At 53.5% G+C, this 19,663-nt stretch overlaps 1 protein-coding gene and 1 long non-coding RNA gene across 7 annotated transcripts in view; one reads left to right on the top strand and one right to left on the bottom strand.

Moving 5' to 3' along the window:
* The window catches only part of RANBP3-DT (RANBP3 divergent transcript), a 41,961-nt gene that overhangs the window by 4,147 nt on the left and 18,151 nt on the right, over positions 1-19,663 (top strand). The gene's annotated exons all lie outside the window — the stretch shown is intronic.
* Positions 10,615-19,663, bottom strand: part of RFX2 (regulatory factor X2) — a 117,337-nt gene continuing 108,288 nt past the window's right edge. For all 6 annotated transcript variants that reach the window (XM_047439198.1, XM_017027107.2, NM_134433.3 and 3 more), the window contains 4 exons: positions 19,266-19,474; positions 14,511-14,664; positions 13,052-13,094; positions 10,615-12,401 (listed from right to left, as the gene is read on the bottom strand). In XM_047439198.1, the coding sequence (XP_047295154.1) occupies positions 12,286-12,401; positions 13,052-13,094; positions 14,511-14,664; positions 19,266-19,474 (522 nt within the window). In that variant the 3' untranslated portion in view covers positions 10,615-12,285. The remainder of the gene's footprint in view (positions 12,402-13,051; positions 13,095-14,510; positions 14,665-19,265; positions 19,475-19,663) is intronic.

Raw genomic sequence — 19,663 nt, forward strand, 5'->3', positions numbered from 1 at the left:
TTGGTTTCATTATTTTCAGGTTTCCCCAAACTTCTCTTGGGTAGGTCTTCTCAGCCTTTACCATATCTGCACGGTGTGACCTTTCATGAACTTGATACTTTTCTTTTTTTTTTTTTTTTTTTTTTTGAGACGGAGTCTCGCTCTGTCGCCCAGGCTGGAGTGCAGTGGCGGGATCTCGGCTCACTGCAAGCTCCGCCTCCCGGGTTCACGCCATTCTCCTGCCTCAGCCTCCCAAGTAGCTGGGACTACAGGCGCCCGCCACTACGCCCGGCTAATTTTTTGTATTTTTAGTAGAGACAGGGTTTCACCGTTTTAGCCGGGATGGTCTCGATCTCCTGACCTCGTGATCCGCCCGCCTCGGCCTCCCAAAGTGCTGGGATTACAGGCATGAGCCACCGCGCCCGGCCGATACTTTTCTTTTGGTTTAAATTTACATTAAACAGATACTTCGTATCACCGTTTAAAATGGAAAACCACTAAGCCATGAGTAGACCATTGTAAAAGCAAACATGAAAATGAAACAATGTTTTCACATTCAAAGTAGATACTGTCGCCTGCCAAGGTGTTGGGCCTGCTTTTTCTTTGATACAAAGGGAGATTAGCAAAGTATTAGAGCGTTATTGAAGAGGCTTCAGCACTTGGCGGAAACTTCCTTCCTGATGTGATGAGAAGGAGTGAAAGAGAATTGAAAACGGGCTAACATAATCTATGTTATTCATTGTCGTTTAACGCCATGTCTACATGTCGCCTAAAGTCATGTCACACACCACATTCATCCCACACTTTGGGAAACTCGCAGCACCATGTCATCACTTGCTAAATAGAATCCAGTCGTGGCTTTTCAGGGGACACTGAGACACGCAAAACCTGTCAGGCTGATGAGCCAAGGACGTTTCCAGTGGTTTCGCAAGCCTCCTCCAAGTGTTGATGGCTGCCAGCTTTCCTCATCTGGCCTCTCGTAGCAAATTAACTTAGTCAACATTCACTTACACAAATATTTGTCAGTTGCCTACTGTGGTAGCTTTAAAATATGGCCCCAAATTCGTTGACCCTTTTCCCAGCAAGAGAGGAGGGTGCAGCTCCCTTCCCTTGAATGTAGGTGGGCTTGCTGATCAATAGAGCACACAGGAAATGACACCGTGTAACTGACGACGCTAGGACATAACGGACAGAGATGCAGCTTCTGCAGCATTGCTGGAACAGTCTCTCTGAAAGCTTTTGGCCACCATGTGAGCAGTCCAACTGCCCTGCGGCTGCCATGCTGTAAGGAAGCTGAAACACAGATCTCATGGCAAGGCCCTGGCCAAGAGATGCCCAGCCAAACCCCAACAGCTCCTGCGGCAGCCGCTGACTGTAATTGCATGAGAGACCCTGAGCCCCGTCAGAACCACCCAGCCTAGCCCTTCCCATTCCTCACCCACAGAAACTACGAAAGATAAAGAATTGCCATTATCAGCCACTAAGCTTTAGGGATGTTCATTACACAGTAGTATGTATCCACCACACCTATGAGGCATCAGGCACATGTTGGATTCCCGGGATGAACTAGACAGGCCCTGACTTCACGGAGATTTGCAGCCTTTTGTGGGGAGACTAACAGTAGACAGGTAAGCAAAATAATTTGAGATAGTGATGGGTGCTACAAAGAAAATAAAACAGCATGCTATGACACAGTGACAGAAAGAGGGAATACTTTTTGTTTGCTTGTTTGTTTTGAGATGGAGTCTCACTGTGTCTCCCAAGCTGGAGTGCAGTGGCAGGATCTCGGCTCGCTGCAACCTCTGCCTCCCGGGTTCAAGCGATTCTCCTGCCTCAGCCTCCCGAGTAGCTGGGATTACAGGCGCCTACCACCATGCCCAGCTAATGTTTGTATTTTTAGTAGAGACGGGGTTTCACCATGTTGGCCAGGCTGGTCTCAAACTCCTGACCTCAAGTGATCCTCCTGCCTCAGCCTCCCAAAGTGCTGGGATTACAGGCGTGAGCCACCACGCCCAGCTGAGGGAATAATTTCACATGGTAAGGAGCTCGGTGTGGCTAGAGCCGAGTGACCAAAAAGAGAGGTGGTGGAGATGAGCTCAGGGAGGGAGCGTGCAGGGCCTTGGAGGCTGCAGTGAGGAGTTAGGGTTTTCTCCTAATTGCAGGGGTTGGAGGCAGGAAATGGGAGGGCTTCAAATGACTTGCCCTTAACTGCTGATTGGCCTCTGTGCTGTCAGCTTCCTCCTTGGCTCACCAGGATACAGGTCTCTGAGGAGCCTCTGAACCCAGGCTGAGCTCTGAAGACTTATGTCCCTCTCTCCTCTGCAGCCAAAGAGGACGATGGCTTCTGCAGCTGGGCTTCAGGAAAAGGGGTCTTCACAGCTGCAATTAAGTTTTCATCTTCCCATCATGGGCAGGGAGCCAGCATGTGTTTTTATGGAGCAAAAGGAGCTTTGCTGTCTGACGCGCTAGGAGCCAATGCTAGGACATGGGTTTGTGAGAAAAGCTTTTTATTGCAAGTTGACTAACAAGCAGATGGGAGTCCAACTCAAAGCTGTCTCCCCGTGCTAGCTTTAAGACCATACTTTTTGCGTGTGTGGAGATGGGGTCTGGCTATGTTGCCCAGGCTGGTCTCAAACTCTTGGCATCGAGCAATCCTCTTCCCTCTGCCTCCCAAAGGGCTGGGATTGTAGGCCTGAGACACCACGCCCACCCTAAGGCAGTCAATACCTTTATTAGAAGAGGTGTAGGGGGTAGACTGTGGCATTAGTAGGTAGGTGACTGGTAGAAAGGAATAGGAAGTCTGGAAAGTCCTCTGGCATGCGCAGTTATCTCTTCATCCCTCATGGAGCGCATGTGCAAGTTCGGGGGGCATTAGTCTAAACCATGCGGTAGAAATTGAGGCTATGACATCAGCAAGCTCGTTCTGTGCAAACTCCAGTCCGCCATATTGTTCCAACTGACTTCAGCCAGTTTTGTTATCTTACAAGCAGAGGGAGTTTCAGTAAGTTGTTTCTTTTCTTATCCAGCAAACTCAGGAATTTCTATTAGTCATAGGTTTCTTTAACTCCTGGGGCAGTGCTTCAGTGCCTGCTCTGTGCCCAGCCCACACTGAGGTTGAGTACCCAGAGATCAATCAAGTATAATTCCTGCCCTTAAGGAGCTTGGAGCCAGGTGGGGTTGGAGGGACTTCATCATGAATGCGTTATTAGTTCATCTGCCTTCCCCGTTCTCCCTCAACCCACGGCCTCAAGTTCCTGACAACAGGATGTCGGATGTGACCAATGGTGGCCCCTTGCCCATGATGGCAGGAACCCCTGACCCAAACTAGGCACATCAGCCAGGGATTTGGGACTGGAATTGCTTCTCTCTGGAAGAAAGCTGGGCTGGATCCTGTTAACATGGGGTAGGGCCACATTCTCCTTCACATGACCTGATCTGCAACCAGGTCAGCCGTGCTGAGAGGTGGAGAGCCCAGAGTGCCACAGCCGGGTTCCCAAGCCTTCACTTTGCTCGGTGACACATTCCTATCTCCTGATCAACTCTGCTTTTTCTCCTCCTCCTCCTCCTCCTCCTCCTCCTTCTTTTGTTGAGATGGAGTCTCCCTCTGTCACCCAGGCTGGAGTGCAGTGGCATAATCTCTGCTCACTGCAACCTCCACCTCCCGGGTTCAAGCAATTCTCCTGCCTCAGTATCCCGAGTAGCTGGGATTACAGGTGCCCGCCACCACGCCCGGCTAATTTTTGTATTTTTAGTAGAGACTGGGTTTCACTATGTTGGTCACGCTGGTCTTGAACTCCTGACCTAAAGTGATCTGCCCACCTTGGCCAGGCTGGTCTCGAACTCCTGACCTCAAGTGATCTGCCCGCCCAAAGTGCTGGGATTACAGGCATGAGTCGCGGCACCCAGCCTCTTTATTTTAAATTAAATAAATTAAATTTTACAATAAATACATTTGAAATAAATTCAGACTTAAAAAAAGTTGCAAAAATAGTACAAAGAGTTCCATATAGCCTCCATCAGCTTCCTCAGATATTCACATCCTGATCAAAATCAGGACATTCGCACTGATACAGTACTATTCACTAATGTGCAAGCCTTATTCACATTTCCTCTGTTCAGCTCTAGTGTCCCTTTTCTGTTCCAGGATTTAGTCCTGGATCCTGTCTTGCATGTAGGTATTTCTCCTTAGTTTCCTTTAGTCTGGATCATTTCCTCCATTTTTTATATACCTTTTCTTGACAACGACATTTCTAACGAGTACTGCCCAATCATTTGGTAGAATGCCCCTTAACTTTGGGTTTGTTTGATGTTTCCTCACAGTGAAACTCAGGTTAAGTGTTTTTGGCAGGGATTACGCAGAAGCGATGTGTGTCTGTGTCAATGCATCCTAGCAAGGGCACATGATGGCGATTTATACCTTTTTTTTTTTTTTTTTTTTTTTGAGACAGAGTCTCTCACTGTTGCCCAGGCTGGAGTGCAATGGTGCAATCTTGGCTCACTGCAACCTCTGCCTACCAGGTTCAAGCGATTCTCATGCATCAGCCTCCTGAGTAGCTGGGACTACAGGTGCGCACCACCACGCCAGGCCAATTTTTGTATTATTAGTAGAGATGGAGTTTCACCATGTTGGCCAGGCTGGTCTTGAACTTGTGACCTCAAGTGATCTGCCTGCCTTGGCCTCCCAAAGTGTTGAGATTACAGACGTGAGCCACCGCGCCCGTCCAATCGCTTGCTTTAAATGGTATCTGCCAGGTGACTTTTTCCCATTGTTATGTTGGGGGGATATTTTGGGCCTTTGTAAACAAATAGGAAATATTCGAGGAAGAGAAGGGGAGGAGGAGAAGGGAAGGAAGGAAATTAGCTCACTCACTCACTTGTTTTTGATCTTTCTTATCATGCATCGTTGCAAATAAGTAAACAAATCAGCCAGGCTTCTGGGCAAAATCCAACTTTGTGTCCCCTGTGAAAAGGAAAACGCTGTGTCACAGAGTGACCACTGGGGGGCAGCAGAGACTTGAGAGGAATCAAAACAACTCCAGGAAAAAGGGCAGTTGGCTACCTTCTGGGAAACTAAACTTACCGGTAAGCTCCGCATCTGCTGGGGTTCTGGTGTCTTCCATGAGCCAGGTCGTGGAAGTGGAGGTAGGGAGTCTTAGTTGCACCTCGCTCCCAGCCTGCTGCTGCTGTTGCCAAGCCGTATGGATGCCCCACCTTGAAAACTGGGGCTGTCACCTCGGGAGGGCTTCACGAGGTCTGAGAATCCCCTTCTGAGACTGGCTAGAAAATTCCTGGGTGCTGAGGGTGTACCTGTTTGGAGACTGATTGCAACCCCCCGAAAGCAGTTCTGGAAGATGTAAGCCAAGGGGGAATTTACTGGAAGGTTATGAGGATATTCATGAGATCAAAAAGAAAGGAGAAGCAACCAGCAGTTTCAACAGGTCTTAGAAGCAAAAATCACTGAGGACAATGCGCCGGGTGTCTCCCCCAGGATGCCTGATCTTTGACTGCTTTCAGTCTCACCCTTCAACGCAGGGTTCAGAGTCTAAGGAGAAAGTGTTGGATGGGGTCAGCAGGGTACGGTACGTTAATTTGTGCTCACCCCCAATCAAATTCATTCCTCCATAAATATTTTCTTTCTTTTTTTTTTTTGAGACGGAATCTCACTCTGTTGCCCAGGCTGGAGTGCAGTGGTACGATCTTGGCTCACTGCAACCTCTGCCTCCCGGATTCAAGCGATTCTACTGCCTCAGCCTCCTAAGGAGCTGGGATTTATAGGCACCGCCACCATGTCCAACTAATTTTTGTATTTTTAGTAGAGAAGGGGGTTTCACCATGTTGGCCAGGCTAGACTTGAACTCCTGACCTCAGGTGATCTGCCTGCCTTGGCCTCCCAAAGTGCTGGGATGACAGGCTTGAGGCACCGTGCCTGGCCCTTCCATCAAATATTTATTGAGCAACAAATACATATTGGGCTCTGTGTGCCCAGCCAGTGGTATGAGATGCCATTTGAGACATCCAAGTGGAGGCAGCCAGTGGAATCCCAGCTCCTCCCCGGGACCTAGGAAGCCCCCATCCCATGACTCTGCAGCCTTCCTCAACCTCCTGCCCTGCCATTCACTCTGTGCCCATGACACCAGCCTCCTCACTGCTCCCCCCACCCCCAACACACTGAGCTCATTTGCTCCCTTCCCACCTGGAACCGCCTCACTCAATATGTGAGAGCCACCCACACAGAGACAGTATTTAAAGCCACAAAAGGACGGTCACTCTTCCAAGAGAATCAGGGTGTTATTCCAAAAGAAGGCAGGATGGATGCTGGACAGCAAAACCCCACAAAATGTCCATGACAGGATTCCAGGAGGGGCCCATGATCTCACAATAAGCTGAGAACAACTCTCAGCCCTCCTGAGAGCCTCTGTGTGAGTGCACGTATACTCATGCATATATGATACTGTGGCTTTGGAGACCTATGCATATGCATTTTACATTGCAGCCCAATACCATAAATGCATGTGTATATGTGCACTCACACATACACTGAAATGAAAATTTTGCAAAGCTATATTTATCCTTATTACACCATCACTCCTGATGTTTTAGTTAGATTTTTATCCTGGTTCATTAGAAAAAGAAAGAGAAAAAAAAAGCCAAGCGCAATGGCTCATGCCTGTAATCCCAGCACTTTGGGAGGCTGAGGTGAGCGGATCACCTGAAGTCAGGAGTTTGAGACCAGTCTGGCCAACATGGTAACATCCTATCTCTATTAAAAATACAAAAATTAGCCAGGCACGGTGACACACTCCTGTAATCCCAGCTACTCAGGAGGCTGAGGGGGAGAATCGATTAAACCCAGGAGGTGGAGGTTGCAGTGAGCTGAGATTGTGCCACTGCACTCCAGCCTGGGCAACAGCAAGACTCTGTCTCAAACAAAGCAAAGCAAAACAAAACAAAACACCAAACCACACACACAAAAAACAAACCAAATCGGGTATAACTCACCAATTTGATCTCCACAGGGCTCCTGTGTGCCCCTGCTCCACCCCACAGCCACAACTCTCCCCCTCACTTGTACGATTTTAACAAGCACCTAATTGACCCCCCTGCTTCTGTTTCTTCCTGTGAATCCACCCTGCCCGAATACATCTTTCTAAAGCCCAGCTTTGATTACATCAAAAACCTCTGGTGGCCTCCTGCCTGAATTCCAGTTTCTTTGGAATTCCTTGTCACTCCTCTGGATATTTTTCTCTCCTCCATGGCACAGCACCTTCCTTCCCAACATCACCGTAAAAAACGCCTTCTCTGGGAGGCCCTCCTCACTCCCTCACACCCTCAATATTTGCTGAGCATGCCCGGTGATAGATTTGGGAAGTCCATTTCAACAAGGCAAATGATAGCTACTCACTCGCAGAGCTTATGGGAAAGACAGATTTGCAAACAATGACTATAAAGTATGGTAGGGGAAGTTGGGTCTAAGTGACCCTAATCTACCCAGAGAGCATCCAGGAAGGCTTCCCGAAAGAAGTGCCAATCAAGGTGAGTGCTAAAGAGGAAGGTGTCTCCCAGGCGACACTGGCAGTGTCCAGAGACATTTTTGCTTGTTAGGATTGGGCTGTAGTGCTCCTGGCAGGGAGTGGGTGGAGGCCAGGGATGCTGCTCAGCACCCTGCAGTGCCCAGTACGGGCCCCCCCAGAGAATTATCTGATCCCCCACCATCTGCGGTATCTGCAGTGCCGAGGGGTAGAAACAGCTCTTGAAGGCTTAGTCCCGTGCTTTCTGTATGTTGACCTTCTTTCTCACAACACCGTGAGGTATTTTTAATGTCTCTTTTCCAGTGGGAGAAACCGATGAAGGTAATTTACTTGAGGGCACAGTGAATGACCGTGGAGCTGATTCTCAAACCTGTGCAGTCTAATCCCTGCCACTCTGCCTCTCCCGGCCGAGGAGGAGCTGGGGAGTAGCAAAGAGGAAGGGGAGAAGCGCTCAGTTGGCGGCCATTTTGAGGAGCAGGGCCAAGGGGCGGGGCGGGGCAATGCGGGGACGGACGGTGCTGCCAAGGCTGTGATGGAGACTTGGGGAGGAGGTCTGGACGGCCAGATGCCGGAATGCTGTCTTGCTCTGCCGAGGGCCAGGCACCCAGGAGCTCTGGGCAGAGGTGAAGTCAGCAGCTCCTGGAGGGTGTTTCCATTGTGGGAGTGGCTGAGGTGACTGAGGGGGTAGAAGGAGGAGAGGAGTGGGCAGGACCCAGGCGCAGAGGGGCAGCAGCCAGAGGCAGGAGGAAAACAGGGGTGGCGGCGGTTGGCGGGGGTGGGGGGCACTCCAGCTGGAGCATCTCCCCTTTCTTTTTTTTTTTTTTTTTTGTTTTTTTGAGACGGAGTCTCGCTCTGTCACCCAGGCTGGAGTGTAGTGACGTGATCTTGGCTTACTGCAAGCTCCTCCTCCTGGGTTCAAGCGATTCTCCTGCCTCAGCCTCCCCAGTAGCTGGGACTACAGGAGTGTGCCATCACACCCGGCTAATTTTTGTATTTTTAGTAGAGATGGGGTTTCACCATGTTAGCCAGGATGGTCTCAATCTCCTGACCTCGTGATCCACCCGCCTCGGCCTCCCAAAGTGCTGGGATTACAGGGGTGAGCCACCGCGCCTGGCCCACATCTGCCCCATCTTAGCACGCTGGCAGTTGCAGTGTCTGGGGTCCCCTCCCATCTTGCAAGGGAGTTCCTGCCACCAGAAAGTTTGTGAAGGCAGGGACATCTCTGGGCCTCCCCACCCCTCCTTGCTGACGTCTGTCTGGAGGTCAGGGCTGTAATGGCAGTTCCATCATCACCAGGGACCCAGGCTCCTTCTGACTCATTGCTTTTCCATCCTTATCATGGGGCTTCCACCTTGAGGTCCACTGTGGCTGCCGTGCTCCAGCCATCACATCTGCATTCCAGCCAGAAGCCTTGCTTTTCCCATGTGTACAATGGGGATTACATCTACCTTAGGTCATCAAAAATAGGAGATGGGATAGAAGTGTCTAGTGTGGAGCCTGCTGTGATTATGGCCAGTACCCCCTAGAGGTGCTTGGTAAGACCAAGGTTCCCCTTTTTTTTTTTCTGAGGCGGCTGCACCCTGGGGACCTACCCAGAGGGCTTTGGAGGCACATGATGGCCTGCGGACCTCAAGCGGGCTCCTCTTTCCTGGGGCGCCATCCCCCATGCTCTGAGCTCCCGCTCTCCCCAGCCTCTCAGGCCCCATGGGCAGGGCTCGGGCCTCCTACTCTGGGCCCTGCAGTCCACACTGGGCCTGGCTCTTCAGGGGCTGGGGAGGTGGGTGAGTTGGCACTTGCCTAATTTGGCTCAGGGGTCTCAGCTGGAGGAATGTCTGAAATTGTGACCCAGCAGGGGGTGGGGCGAGTGGATTTCCTGGCTGATGTTGGCACCGTCAGGACACAGTGGGGTCCTGGAGTCCCAGCCCAGGGAAGTGAGAGGCGATTCTAGTGTCACCTGAGACAGAGAGGCCTGGGCTGGGGCAAAGGCCGAGTGTCCCTGGGAGCATACGGGGCACTGGCCTGGCACTCGGGAAACTGGCCTGGCTGACCAGCAACTGTACTAGCCTCTGTGGGCCACCCTCCCTCCCGCAGGTGGGCCCTGCCTGGTTCCTGAGCCCATTGCTCTCCTCTGTAGGGTTTCTTCAAAGTCCTATAGCCCCGCACCACAGTCCCCTGAGAGGGAATGGCAGCAACAACACGCTTCCTGGCTCCTACCCGAATCTCACCGAGTCATGCTCCTTGTGAAATGGGTCCAGGAATCGGCCATTTTTGAGCAAGCTCATGCACTGATTCTCAATGATTCTGAAGTTTGGCCCGAGTAAACCCTGCGGACAACCAGGGGTTCGCATCCGAGACTGGCACACCCGCTTCCTCCGCTAGATCCGAGTGGGTCTAGCCTGTAACAAATGTAAACAGGAGGCTGGGGCGGTGGCTCACGCCTGTAATCTCAGCACACTGGGAGGCCAAGGTGGGAGGATCGCTTGAGCCAAGGAGTTTGAGTCCAGCCTGGGCAACACAGGAAGACCCCCATCTCTAAAAAAAAAAAAAAAAAAAATTAGCTGGATGTGGTGGCGCACGCCTATAGTCCCACCTACTTGGGGAGGCTGAGGTGGGAGGATCACCTGAGCTCAAGAGGTTGAGGGTGTAGTGAGCTATGATAGTGCCACTGCACGCCAGCCGAGGTGATAGAATGAGACCGTCTCTTAAAAAAACAAACAAACAACAGAAAAAAACCCAAAGTGTAAACAGGAGCCATTGACCATCCTGGACAAAGAACGGTTTCTGCGCCATCACTGGCTCAGGATAGGCCTTGCTAAGGAAGTAAGGGGCCCAGGCTCCTTCCGGAAGGCACTAGAACATCCCCAGGGAGCCCGCAGGCAAGTGCAGGGGGCACCTCTGTGGTTTCCCCTCTGGGTCTTGAGTGGGGCAGGCCCGGCAGGCTGGTGTCCCACGGCGGGGGGACAGGGCCTAGAGTGTGGACAGTGAGTCCAAAAATGGGCACGCTCAGTGTGTTTACTGCTATGAAAAATGAGACCAGGCCTGAGAGGCTTGTGGCTTCGCTGCCACCTCTGTTCCTCCTCGTGGATCGGAAAGACAGGCCAGAGCCTAAGGCAGAAACCAGCTTGTATTGGTTACCAGGAGTGAGGAAAAGCCGGGCATTACAATCCGTTAACTGTGAGCTTCAGTGTCTCCAAGGAGAGGAGATGTATATTTTAAAGACATTCTTTCTGTCTGATTTCAACTAAGGTTTGGGCTATACGACCAGACAAACAGTGTGATTATTCCCAGCTTTTCGTTTCTAAAGTGAGCACGCGTCTTTGTCTTCCTGCACCCCTCACTCTGGCGCAGGCCCAGCGATGCTCTGAGCTCCTGCGGGCGGGGAAGTAGGTTTTTAAAGGCCACGTGAGCTGACATTAGTACCTTCTGTGTGAATGAGAACAAAACATTTGGGACTGAATATACTGCAATGTACACATTCATAAGAAACGTTCTAATAACAATTAGCGCACAAAACTATTGGTATAAACATTTTTCCAAAAAGAGAAAACTATTGCATTTCGTTAGAAATCGCGTCCTGGGCCGAGGCTCGTCTTTCTTCTCTGCAGTTGGTTTGGGGACAGAACTCCAGCACGCAGCTGTCCAACTGCAGCGGCTACGTGTTTCCATGGAGACAAACTTGGTGTCTCAAGTTCAGGGCTTCGAAAGTCCCGAATATTTGTTTGTCCCGAGAGAAGAGTTTTGACTTTGAAGAGGTCCAGGTGGGACTCGCTGGGGGTGGGGTGCTCCGGGATTAGTTCAGAGGGAGGTGTTCTGGAAGACTCCGTGGAGCGGGACGCAGGCACTGCTGTTTGGACGACACGCGGGATGGCTGCTTTCTGAAGTTGTGGCTGTGACACTGACCCTGTTGGACAAACTCCTTCCACAGCCAGTGGCTTGATGGTGACGGTGAACTTGGACAGAGTCCCACATCCTTCCTGCTGCTGATAAAACTTCTGGTTTTGATTTTTTGAAAGACACTGCTGTGTCCTGGCACGAGCGAGCCCGTTTCTGTGGCTTGTTCTTTTTCGAGCTGCGGATCTGCCGGGACACAGCGATTGTCAGCTGCCCCTCAAGTCCTTTGGCATCTGGAGATGGGTTCCTGCAGCACAGCCGGCCTCCCGCCTCGGGGCATCCGGCAGGGAGGTCTGGATCTAAAAGGCCACAGGGCGCTGCGCCCAGCTGGGTCCCTCCCACATGGTGCTACCAGACAAGGGCACTCCACTTTCCATTCCTGAGGGGACTCCAGGGACGCTGGCGAGCTCTGTGCCTCCCCAGCGGTGGCAGGTAGGAGGGGAGAGGCCGTCCCTTTCTAGTCGGGCTCTGCCAGGTTTTTTTAATTTTTAAAATCATGGTGAAAATTGGTTCCAGTTGAGTGCAGAGGCCAGTGCTCTCAGCACAGCCCTTTCAGCTCTTAAAGGGACTGGGGCCAAAGTCCAGGGTTCCAGCAGAGGAGGGTTTGTCCAGAATAAGGAACCCATGGTCTGGTGGGGCCCTGGTGGCTGCGCAGGGACCTGGGGACCCAGAGCACAGCTACAGCCAGTGGGAGCCCTGGCCTGGGCTTCTGTAGCTTCAACAACTGCTTTCCTTCTTGAACACTGACCCCGGGAGCCCCCGCTTGAGTCAAAGTAAACATCACATCATCTAAGAGGCACTAATTTGGTGGAGCCGGTGAAATCCAGGTTCCCAGAGTGACCAGGCGGCATCTTTTGGAACCTCGAGGAGGCGCCGGCCGGGGCTGCTAGATGCCCTGCAGGGAGTGGTTGGGGTCACTGCGCTCCCGCTTTACCAGGGGCTCACCCAGGCTGCGGGCGTCTGGGCCCGCCTCGCTGCCACGCTGCTCATCGCCCATGTCATCTGCGGAGGGAGGGGTAGGGTCAGTGTCCATCATCAGGAGGGCACGAGAGGGAGAGAAGGAAGTGCACGTTCCGAGAACTGCTCCGGCACGCCAGGCAGGGCACCGAGGATACATGGCAGCCTGTGGACCCCACCTCGGCCTCTGCTCCAGGCTGACCTGTCCTCCCCACCTGCCGTTACCCAGAGGTGCCCCCAGCTCGGGCCAGGCGAAAGAGCCTCTGCCCTGTGCCTCCCTTTCCCAGCGCCGACGGGCCTGGGGCCTGCTCCCCACAGGGCTGGGGCCTCTGGGGTCCTCCCACCCGCATGGGACAGAGACGGGGCCCGGGGGTCCCTCTGGCCTGCCTGTCCCACTCTCCTGCTGGGCGTGGGCGCAGGAGACCAGGGGCTGCCTAGTCTGGGCCTGGTGCTGAGGTCCCTGGGCAGCGGCTACCCAGAGGCCAGCGGCAGTCTGAGCCCCAGCCGAGCCAGTCTGCAGTGTCACCTGCTGCTCAGGCATCACCCACTGTCCGGATGACAGATCCCAGGGCCCTCACCCCCCAAGGGGCTGCCCGCATTTCCACCTGTTCATCATGAGATGGGGCAGACAGGCCACGGCCAGGAGTACCACCCTCCTGGGAGGGTCGTGGTGGGAAAGCCGCAGACGCACCTACCTTTGTCGAGCAGCGTCAGCGACAGAGAGGCGAGATCGTTGAACTGAAAGAGAAACCTGGAGTCAGGGGCGCCTGCAGAGGGGCGGCAGTTGCTGTTTGGGGGCTCGGGGGATGCCGGCCCAACCTTGCCTTGAGCCACGTCCTCCATTCACAGTGAAGCAGCTGGGGCCTGCCCTGAAATGTGGCTCTGATGCTGCCAGGTGTCTGGGTGGGTCCCTGTGCCCTGTCCAGGCCGCCTCTGGGAGCTGCTGGGGGTGGAGGGTGCTGACTACTCGGGGCAGCGAGGGGACAGCAGCTGGCTCCCAAAGTCCCCTGGGTGCGGCTGCTCCGGGTTTTAAGGTGGCATGGAAGAGCCGTGGGCCAAATTATCTTTGCTCCCTGAAGTCTGTACACAGCAGGAAAACCACTCCTTGGCTGCCCCAAAGCCCGGCGTTCACGCCAATGTGCAGAGAACAGGCGGCTTCCACAGTTTCTGTACACGTTGCGGGGCCCTGGCCACCGACTCTTAGAGTGCTGTGGCTTCTGGGTAGTAAGAGTGCAGGGACCCCGCCATTCATCAAGCATCATCTCGTTTCTTCCTGGAGGCCATCCCACGCAGCCCAGCAAGTCCACTCCAAGGTGTGGACCCCGAAGAACTGAACACAGGAGTGCACACAAACACCCGCCCACACACGCCCACGCAGCCCCGTTCACGACGGCCACAGAGAGGGAGCGACCGTGCAGCACGGAGGGACGAGCGGTCAGCACAGCGCGGCCAGCCACGCACCGGAACACAACTCAGCCAGGAGAGGAACCAGGCTTTGACCCGGGCCGCAGCGCGGATGTCATGTTCCGTGACAGACGCCGGACACAAAAGGCCACACAGTGTGTGATCCCATTTCTATGAAGTGTCCAGGACAGGCCGATCCACAGAGGCAGGAGGGGGCTGCGTGGGTGCTGTGCTGCAGGAGGAGCTTGGGAATGACTGCTCCTGGGGACGGGGTTTCCTTTTGGGGTGACGGAATGTTCTGGAACTGGACAGAGGTGCCAGCTGCACGTTGTGGATGTGCTAAGCGCCACTTGATTGTGCGCTTTCACGTGGAAATCTCTCCCTATGTGTGTGTTACCACAATAAACAGAAAACTCTGGGTGGTGTGTCCGAGGCCTCCCCTGTGTGGCGGGACGCCCAAGGACAACCTCCTTCCAGAGCCAGCGGTGCGATGGGGACTGTGAACTTGGACAGAGCCCCAAATCCTTCCCAGTGCTGATAAAACTTGTGGTTTTGATGTTTTGAGACACTGCTGTGTCCTGGCACGGGTGGGCCCGTTTCTGTGGCTTGTTCTTTATCGAGCTGCAGCTCTGTCCGGGCGGCAGAGCAGTGGGACCTGCGAGTGTCCTCTCTCTGGGCTGCTCAGAGCACACCGCCCTCTCCCCACAGGCCCGGCCAAGCCCCGGCCGTCCCACCCAGGAGGGTCCTCACCTCTCCCATCACAGCGATCGGCGTCTCTCCGGTGGCCTCCGCGACGCGGTGCTCCACCAGGTAGAACATGTACTCGTCGTAGAGCAGGCGGATGAGGTGGAAGGAGCCGAAGCTGGCAGCGCTGCGCAGGGTCAGGTCCCGGATCACCATGGAGCTGGGGACAAGCGGACAGAGGCTGGGGACCCTCAGGGGAGCATGGAACCCGGGCCCCAGGCCAGACTTCATGGCAGCAACACACCCCCTGCTCTACGTTCCCTGGGGAACCCAGAGGCTGAGTGATCCTAAGACGTGCAGGCCTACGCGGGGGCTGACGGGCTGCCGAGACCCTGGGCCCACGTGACGGACAGGTGGGGCCGGCCTGCGCGCTCAGTTCCAGAGACCACCTGGGGAACAGGAGAGGGAGATGGGCAGTCAGCCCCAAAGCGACAGGCTGCGGGAAACAACTGTGGCTGGTGCTAGCGCAGGCGCTAGATGGGATCTTAGCTGGTGAGTCTTTCTAGTGACATTTCGGACTCCGAATCAGAGCACAGGCTGGCAGCTGGTGCCTGTCTCCCCAGCAGGAGGCGCCTTTCCCCACCTTCCCCGTATCCTTGCCACCTCCCGCCATTCCTCAGCCTGTGGTTTCAGGCACCTAAAAACAAGACAAAAAGCCAGGGTGCTTTAGTCTCTGTCAGCGAAAGCAGGGGTTTCAGAGACTTCAGCCCAGATCCAGTCCGCGTCCAGCCCTCAGCCTGTGTGCTGACAATGCTTTACATTTTGAAATGGTTGGAAAAAGTCAAAAGAATAATTATATTCGGTGGCACGTGGAAATTACATGAAATTCACATTTTGGTGTCCACAGACAGTTTCACTGGCACGCGTCATGCCCGTTCCTATGTTGTCTTTCCTAGGATGGCTGCAAATACTACCTGGTTCTTTCTGGGAGAGGCGGCCCCTGACCTAAAGGATCAGTATAAGACCAAAGGGGGCTAGGCACGGTCGCTCACACCTGTAATCCCAGCACTTTGGGAGGCCAGGGCGGGCAGATCACTTGGGGTCAGGAGTTCTAGACCAGCCTGGCCAACATGGTGAAACGCCATCTCTACTAAGAATACAAAAATTAGTGAGGCATGGTGGCACATGCCTGTAATCCCAGCTACTCGGGAGGCTAAGGCAGGAAAATTGCTTGAACCTGGGAGGCGGAGGCTGCAGTGAGCCGAGATCATGTCGCTGCACTCTAGCCTGGGTGACAGAGCAACACTCCATCTCAAAAAAAAAGAATGAAGTGGAACAATGTCTCAGTCCTCCTATAAGACCTAAAGGACTTATATACAGTGGCACCTGATTAAAAACTTTGGCCTACAAGCCAGGCGGCCCCCAATGCCCAACTGCCCCGGCTCGAAGTATACTTTCATAAACTCTGTTACGTCTAATCGGTATCGAGCGATAAAAAGAAGACACAGGCTTGAGAAAGGCAAAGACAGCCGCACTATGAAGACCACCAAAGCTGTCTATCCTTAAGTGTCAAGCATAGCTGCAAAGCCCCCAGCCCCCTCCTGTTCCTCCGGGCCCACCCAGGTTGGCTTCCAAGCCCCCTTTCCCCAAAGGCCTCCCCCACGCAGATGAGGTGCTGGCACTCTGCAACCAGCTTCCCCACAGCCCCGGTGTCTGGTGCGATGCTTCAGTCCAAAGTATTTCCAGAACATCGCCTGCGGTCACCCCGGTATCTCTGGGTTCCCAAATGGGCTCGCAGCTCCCAGAGAGTAGGAGCATCGGCCGACCACCACCAAGGGAGGCCCAGCCAGAGCTTGGGGATGACCAGCCAAGGCCTCAGTCCACATGCTACCATTTTCTAGTGGGTGCTACAGAAATAAATCCCGTAAACCTAATTTTTATTTTTTATGACTGCACTGCACGTGCATAAGAATGAAGTCAGACCAGGCGTGGTGGCTCATGACTGGAATCGCAGCACTTTGGGAGGCTGAGGCAGGTGGATCACCTGAGGTCAGGAGTTTGAGAGCAGCCCGGCCAACATGGCAAAACCCCGTCTCTACTAAAAATACAAAAATCAGCCAGGCCTGGTGGTGGGCACCTGTAATCCCAGCTATTCAGGAGGCTGAGGCACGAGAAGTGCTTGAACCCGGGAAGGGGAGGTTGCAGTGAGCCGAGATCGCACCATTGCACTCCAGCCTGGTGACAGAGCGAGACTCTGTCTCAAAAAACAAGCAAACAAGAGAATGAAGTGGAACAGTGTCTCGGTCTCCCTTGTGAAGAGCACCCCCACCTTGCAGACGTGACCCCGATCCCCTCCAGCTCTGAGCTGTGCTCTTCTCTGGCTGGCAGGCACCTCAGTCCTGCGCTCACTCTGCTCTTCTCAATTCTTCCGCTTGCAACCTTCCCTCTGTCCATGGAGACTGGCATCGGCATCCCTACGCTGTCTCTTCCCTTGCTCTTCCTCCCTCATTATCCCAGTGTGGCTTTATTGTAATTTCTGGCTACACTGGTGTTTCTGTTATGTGGCAGTGGTGTGCTAGGTCCATGGCAGAGCCGCATAGTCTATTAGGCGTGTGGTTCCTCTCATTCATTCACTGAGCCAGCATTTAAACAGAAGTGAGGTCCCGGCACTCGGGTAGCGTGCCTGATCATGCAGGAGACAGACAACAGACAAGTGAACAGATGACAGGTGACGGTCAATGCCAGGAGAAAGGCAGGGCATGGGGCATGCAAAGTGGGAAAGAATGGGCCGTCTTATTTACAGAGGCTGGGGGTGAGGGATTTCTCTGCGGATGATGGGTTTCTCTGTGTGGCTGTCTGGGGGAAAGATGTTCCAGGCAAGGGGGGCAGGTGCAAAGGCCCTGAGGCAGCGTGGCCAGGGGAGTGTGTAAGGAGACAGCTGAGAACAGGGGTGCTGGCTGGCCAGCTGAGGGGTCAGCAAACTTGTTCTTATTTTTTTTTTTTTTCTTGAGATGGAGTTTGGCTCCTGTTGCCCAGGCTGGAGTGAAATAGCACGGTCTTGGCTCATTGCAACCTCTGCCTCCCGGATTCAAGTGATTCTCCTGCTGCAGCCTCCCAAGTAGCTGGGATTTCAGGTGCCCACCACCACGCCTGACTAATTTTTATATTTTTAGTAGAGATGGGGTTTCGCCATGTTGGCCAGTCTGGTCTTGAACTTCTGACCCCAAGTGATCCACCTGCCTCAGCCTCCCAAAGTGTGGGGATTACAGGCATGAGCCACTGCGCCCGGCCAGGCAAACTCGTTTTCACGCTTGCCAGATAGTAAATATTTTCAGCTTTGTAGCCAACAGTCAAACTGTTTTGTTTGCATTGACAGCTGTAGCTGATCTGTGAATTAATGCATGTGGCTGAGGTTCCAATAAAACTTTATTTGCACAATGGGCTGGGGCAGTGATATGGTTTGGCTCTGTGTCCCCACCCAAATCTCACCTTGAATTGTAATGATCCCCATGTGTTGTGGGAGGGACCTGGTGGGAGGTAATTGAATCATGGAGACAGATGTTTCCTGTGCTGTTCTCTTGAGAGTGAATAAGTCTCATGAGATGTGATGGTTTTATAAAGGCGAGTTCCCCTGCACATGCTCTCTTGCCTGCCGCCATGGAAGATGTGCCTTTGCTCTTCCTTGGCCTTCCGCCATGCTTGTGAGGCCTCCCCAGCCAGGTGGAACTGTGAGTCCATTCAACCTATTTTTCTTTATAAATTACCCAGTGTTGGGTATGTCTGTATCAGCAGCATGAGAATGGACTAATAATACAGGTGGGGATAACAATTTGGCCCTGTGGCCATAGCTCATCCATGCGCTGGGTCACGTGGGGCCTGTCAGCCACAGAACAGCTTTGTTTTTTCCTGGGGTAATAACTGGCTCTTTTTTTAAAAATGCACATTTTCCATGTACTCAGGGAGACTAAAACTCCTTGACAGAACTGCAGGAGGCATCTTGGTGCCTTTCCTGGGGACAATCCCTCTGGAAGCCTTGGCTCCCCTGCCCTGGTCTGCACAGGTTAGGTCTGTAGCTTGGAAATGATTTCCCTTCAGAGCTCTCAGGACATCGCTCTACTGCCTTCTGGGTTTCTGCACATTGTTCGGAAGTCTAATGCTGCTCCCATCCCCAGCCTGTTTCTTTCTCTCTGGAAGCTTTTATGGTTGTTTCTCAAACTTGGTGTTTCGATATTTCACCAGGAGCCTCCTTGTGCCCTTCAGTTCTGAGATAGCTTTGTTCCCCCCTTAGAGATGGGGTCTTGCTCTGTCACTCAGGCTAGGGTACAGTGGTGCAATCTTGGCTCACTGCAGCCTGGACCGCCTGGGCTCAAGGATCCTTCCACCTCAGCCTCACAAGTATCTGGGACCACAGGCACATGCCACCACGTCCAGCTAAGTTTTTTTACTTTTTGTAGAGGTCCTGATATTTTCCCCAGGGTCGTCTCAAATTTCTGGTCTCAAGCCATCCTCCTGCCTTGGCCTCCCAAAGTGGTGGGATTATAAGTATGAGCCACCATGCCCAGCCCTCAGTGATGATTTCTGTCTGCAGAACTTGCAACTTAGTATTTAGGCCACGGTGGCCTTCTGGGCCTGCCCCTGGGAGCCGCTGGTCATGAGTGAGGCCCCCAGCCAGGTAGTTGTTTTTTGCGGGTTCAGACACTGCTGCAACTCTGCTGAGCCCTGTTTTGCTCTGAGCTCACCAGCCGAGCCCCCTACCCTCTAGAAGTTTCTCTCAGAGCCCCCCACCCGCCAGAATTCTCTCGGAGGTCTGGTGGGACTAACCTGTAAAAGGACCATTTCAGCAAGAACTGCCGGGCGGCCTTGGGGAAGCTGGGGCTGCCGGCATGCTGCTTCAGGACCTGGGTGACCACACTGTCCAGCCAGCTGGCCCACTGGTCCAGGGAGCTCTGCTGCTGCAGGGTCAGCTTGAAATCCTGCTCCAGCCGCTGCACCACACTCTCCTCGCACTGGCACACCCACGAGGCCTGCTCCTGTGGGCAGGGCAGAGGCCAGTGTCAGCAATGTGGACCCCCAGCCACGGCAGCCCTCCCTGGACCTAGCCATGCTCAGGGCGGGACATCGTGCTGTGCTTGAGCCTTCTCGCCCTTGACCTTGACAGCTGCAAGCCAAGTCCTGTGTCTCCCGTCACAGGGGCAGAATAGAGAGCTGAGGGGGATCGT

The sequence above is a fragment of the Homo sapiens genome, chromosome 19 (assembly GCF_000001405.40).
Source record: "Homo sapiens chromosome 19, GRCh38.p14 Primary Assembly".
In the NCBI taxonomy this organism is placed as follows: domain Eukaryota; kingdom Metazoa; phylum Chordata; class Mammalia; order Primates; family Hominidae; genus Homo; species Homo sapiens.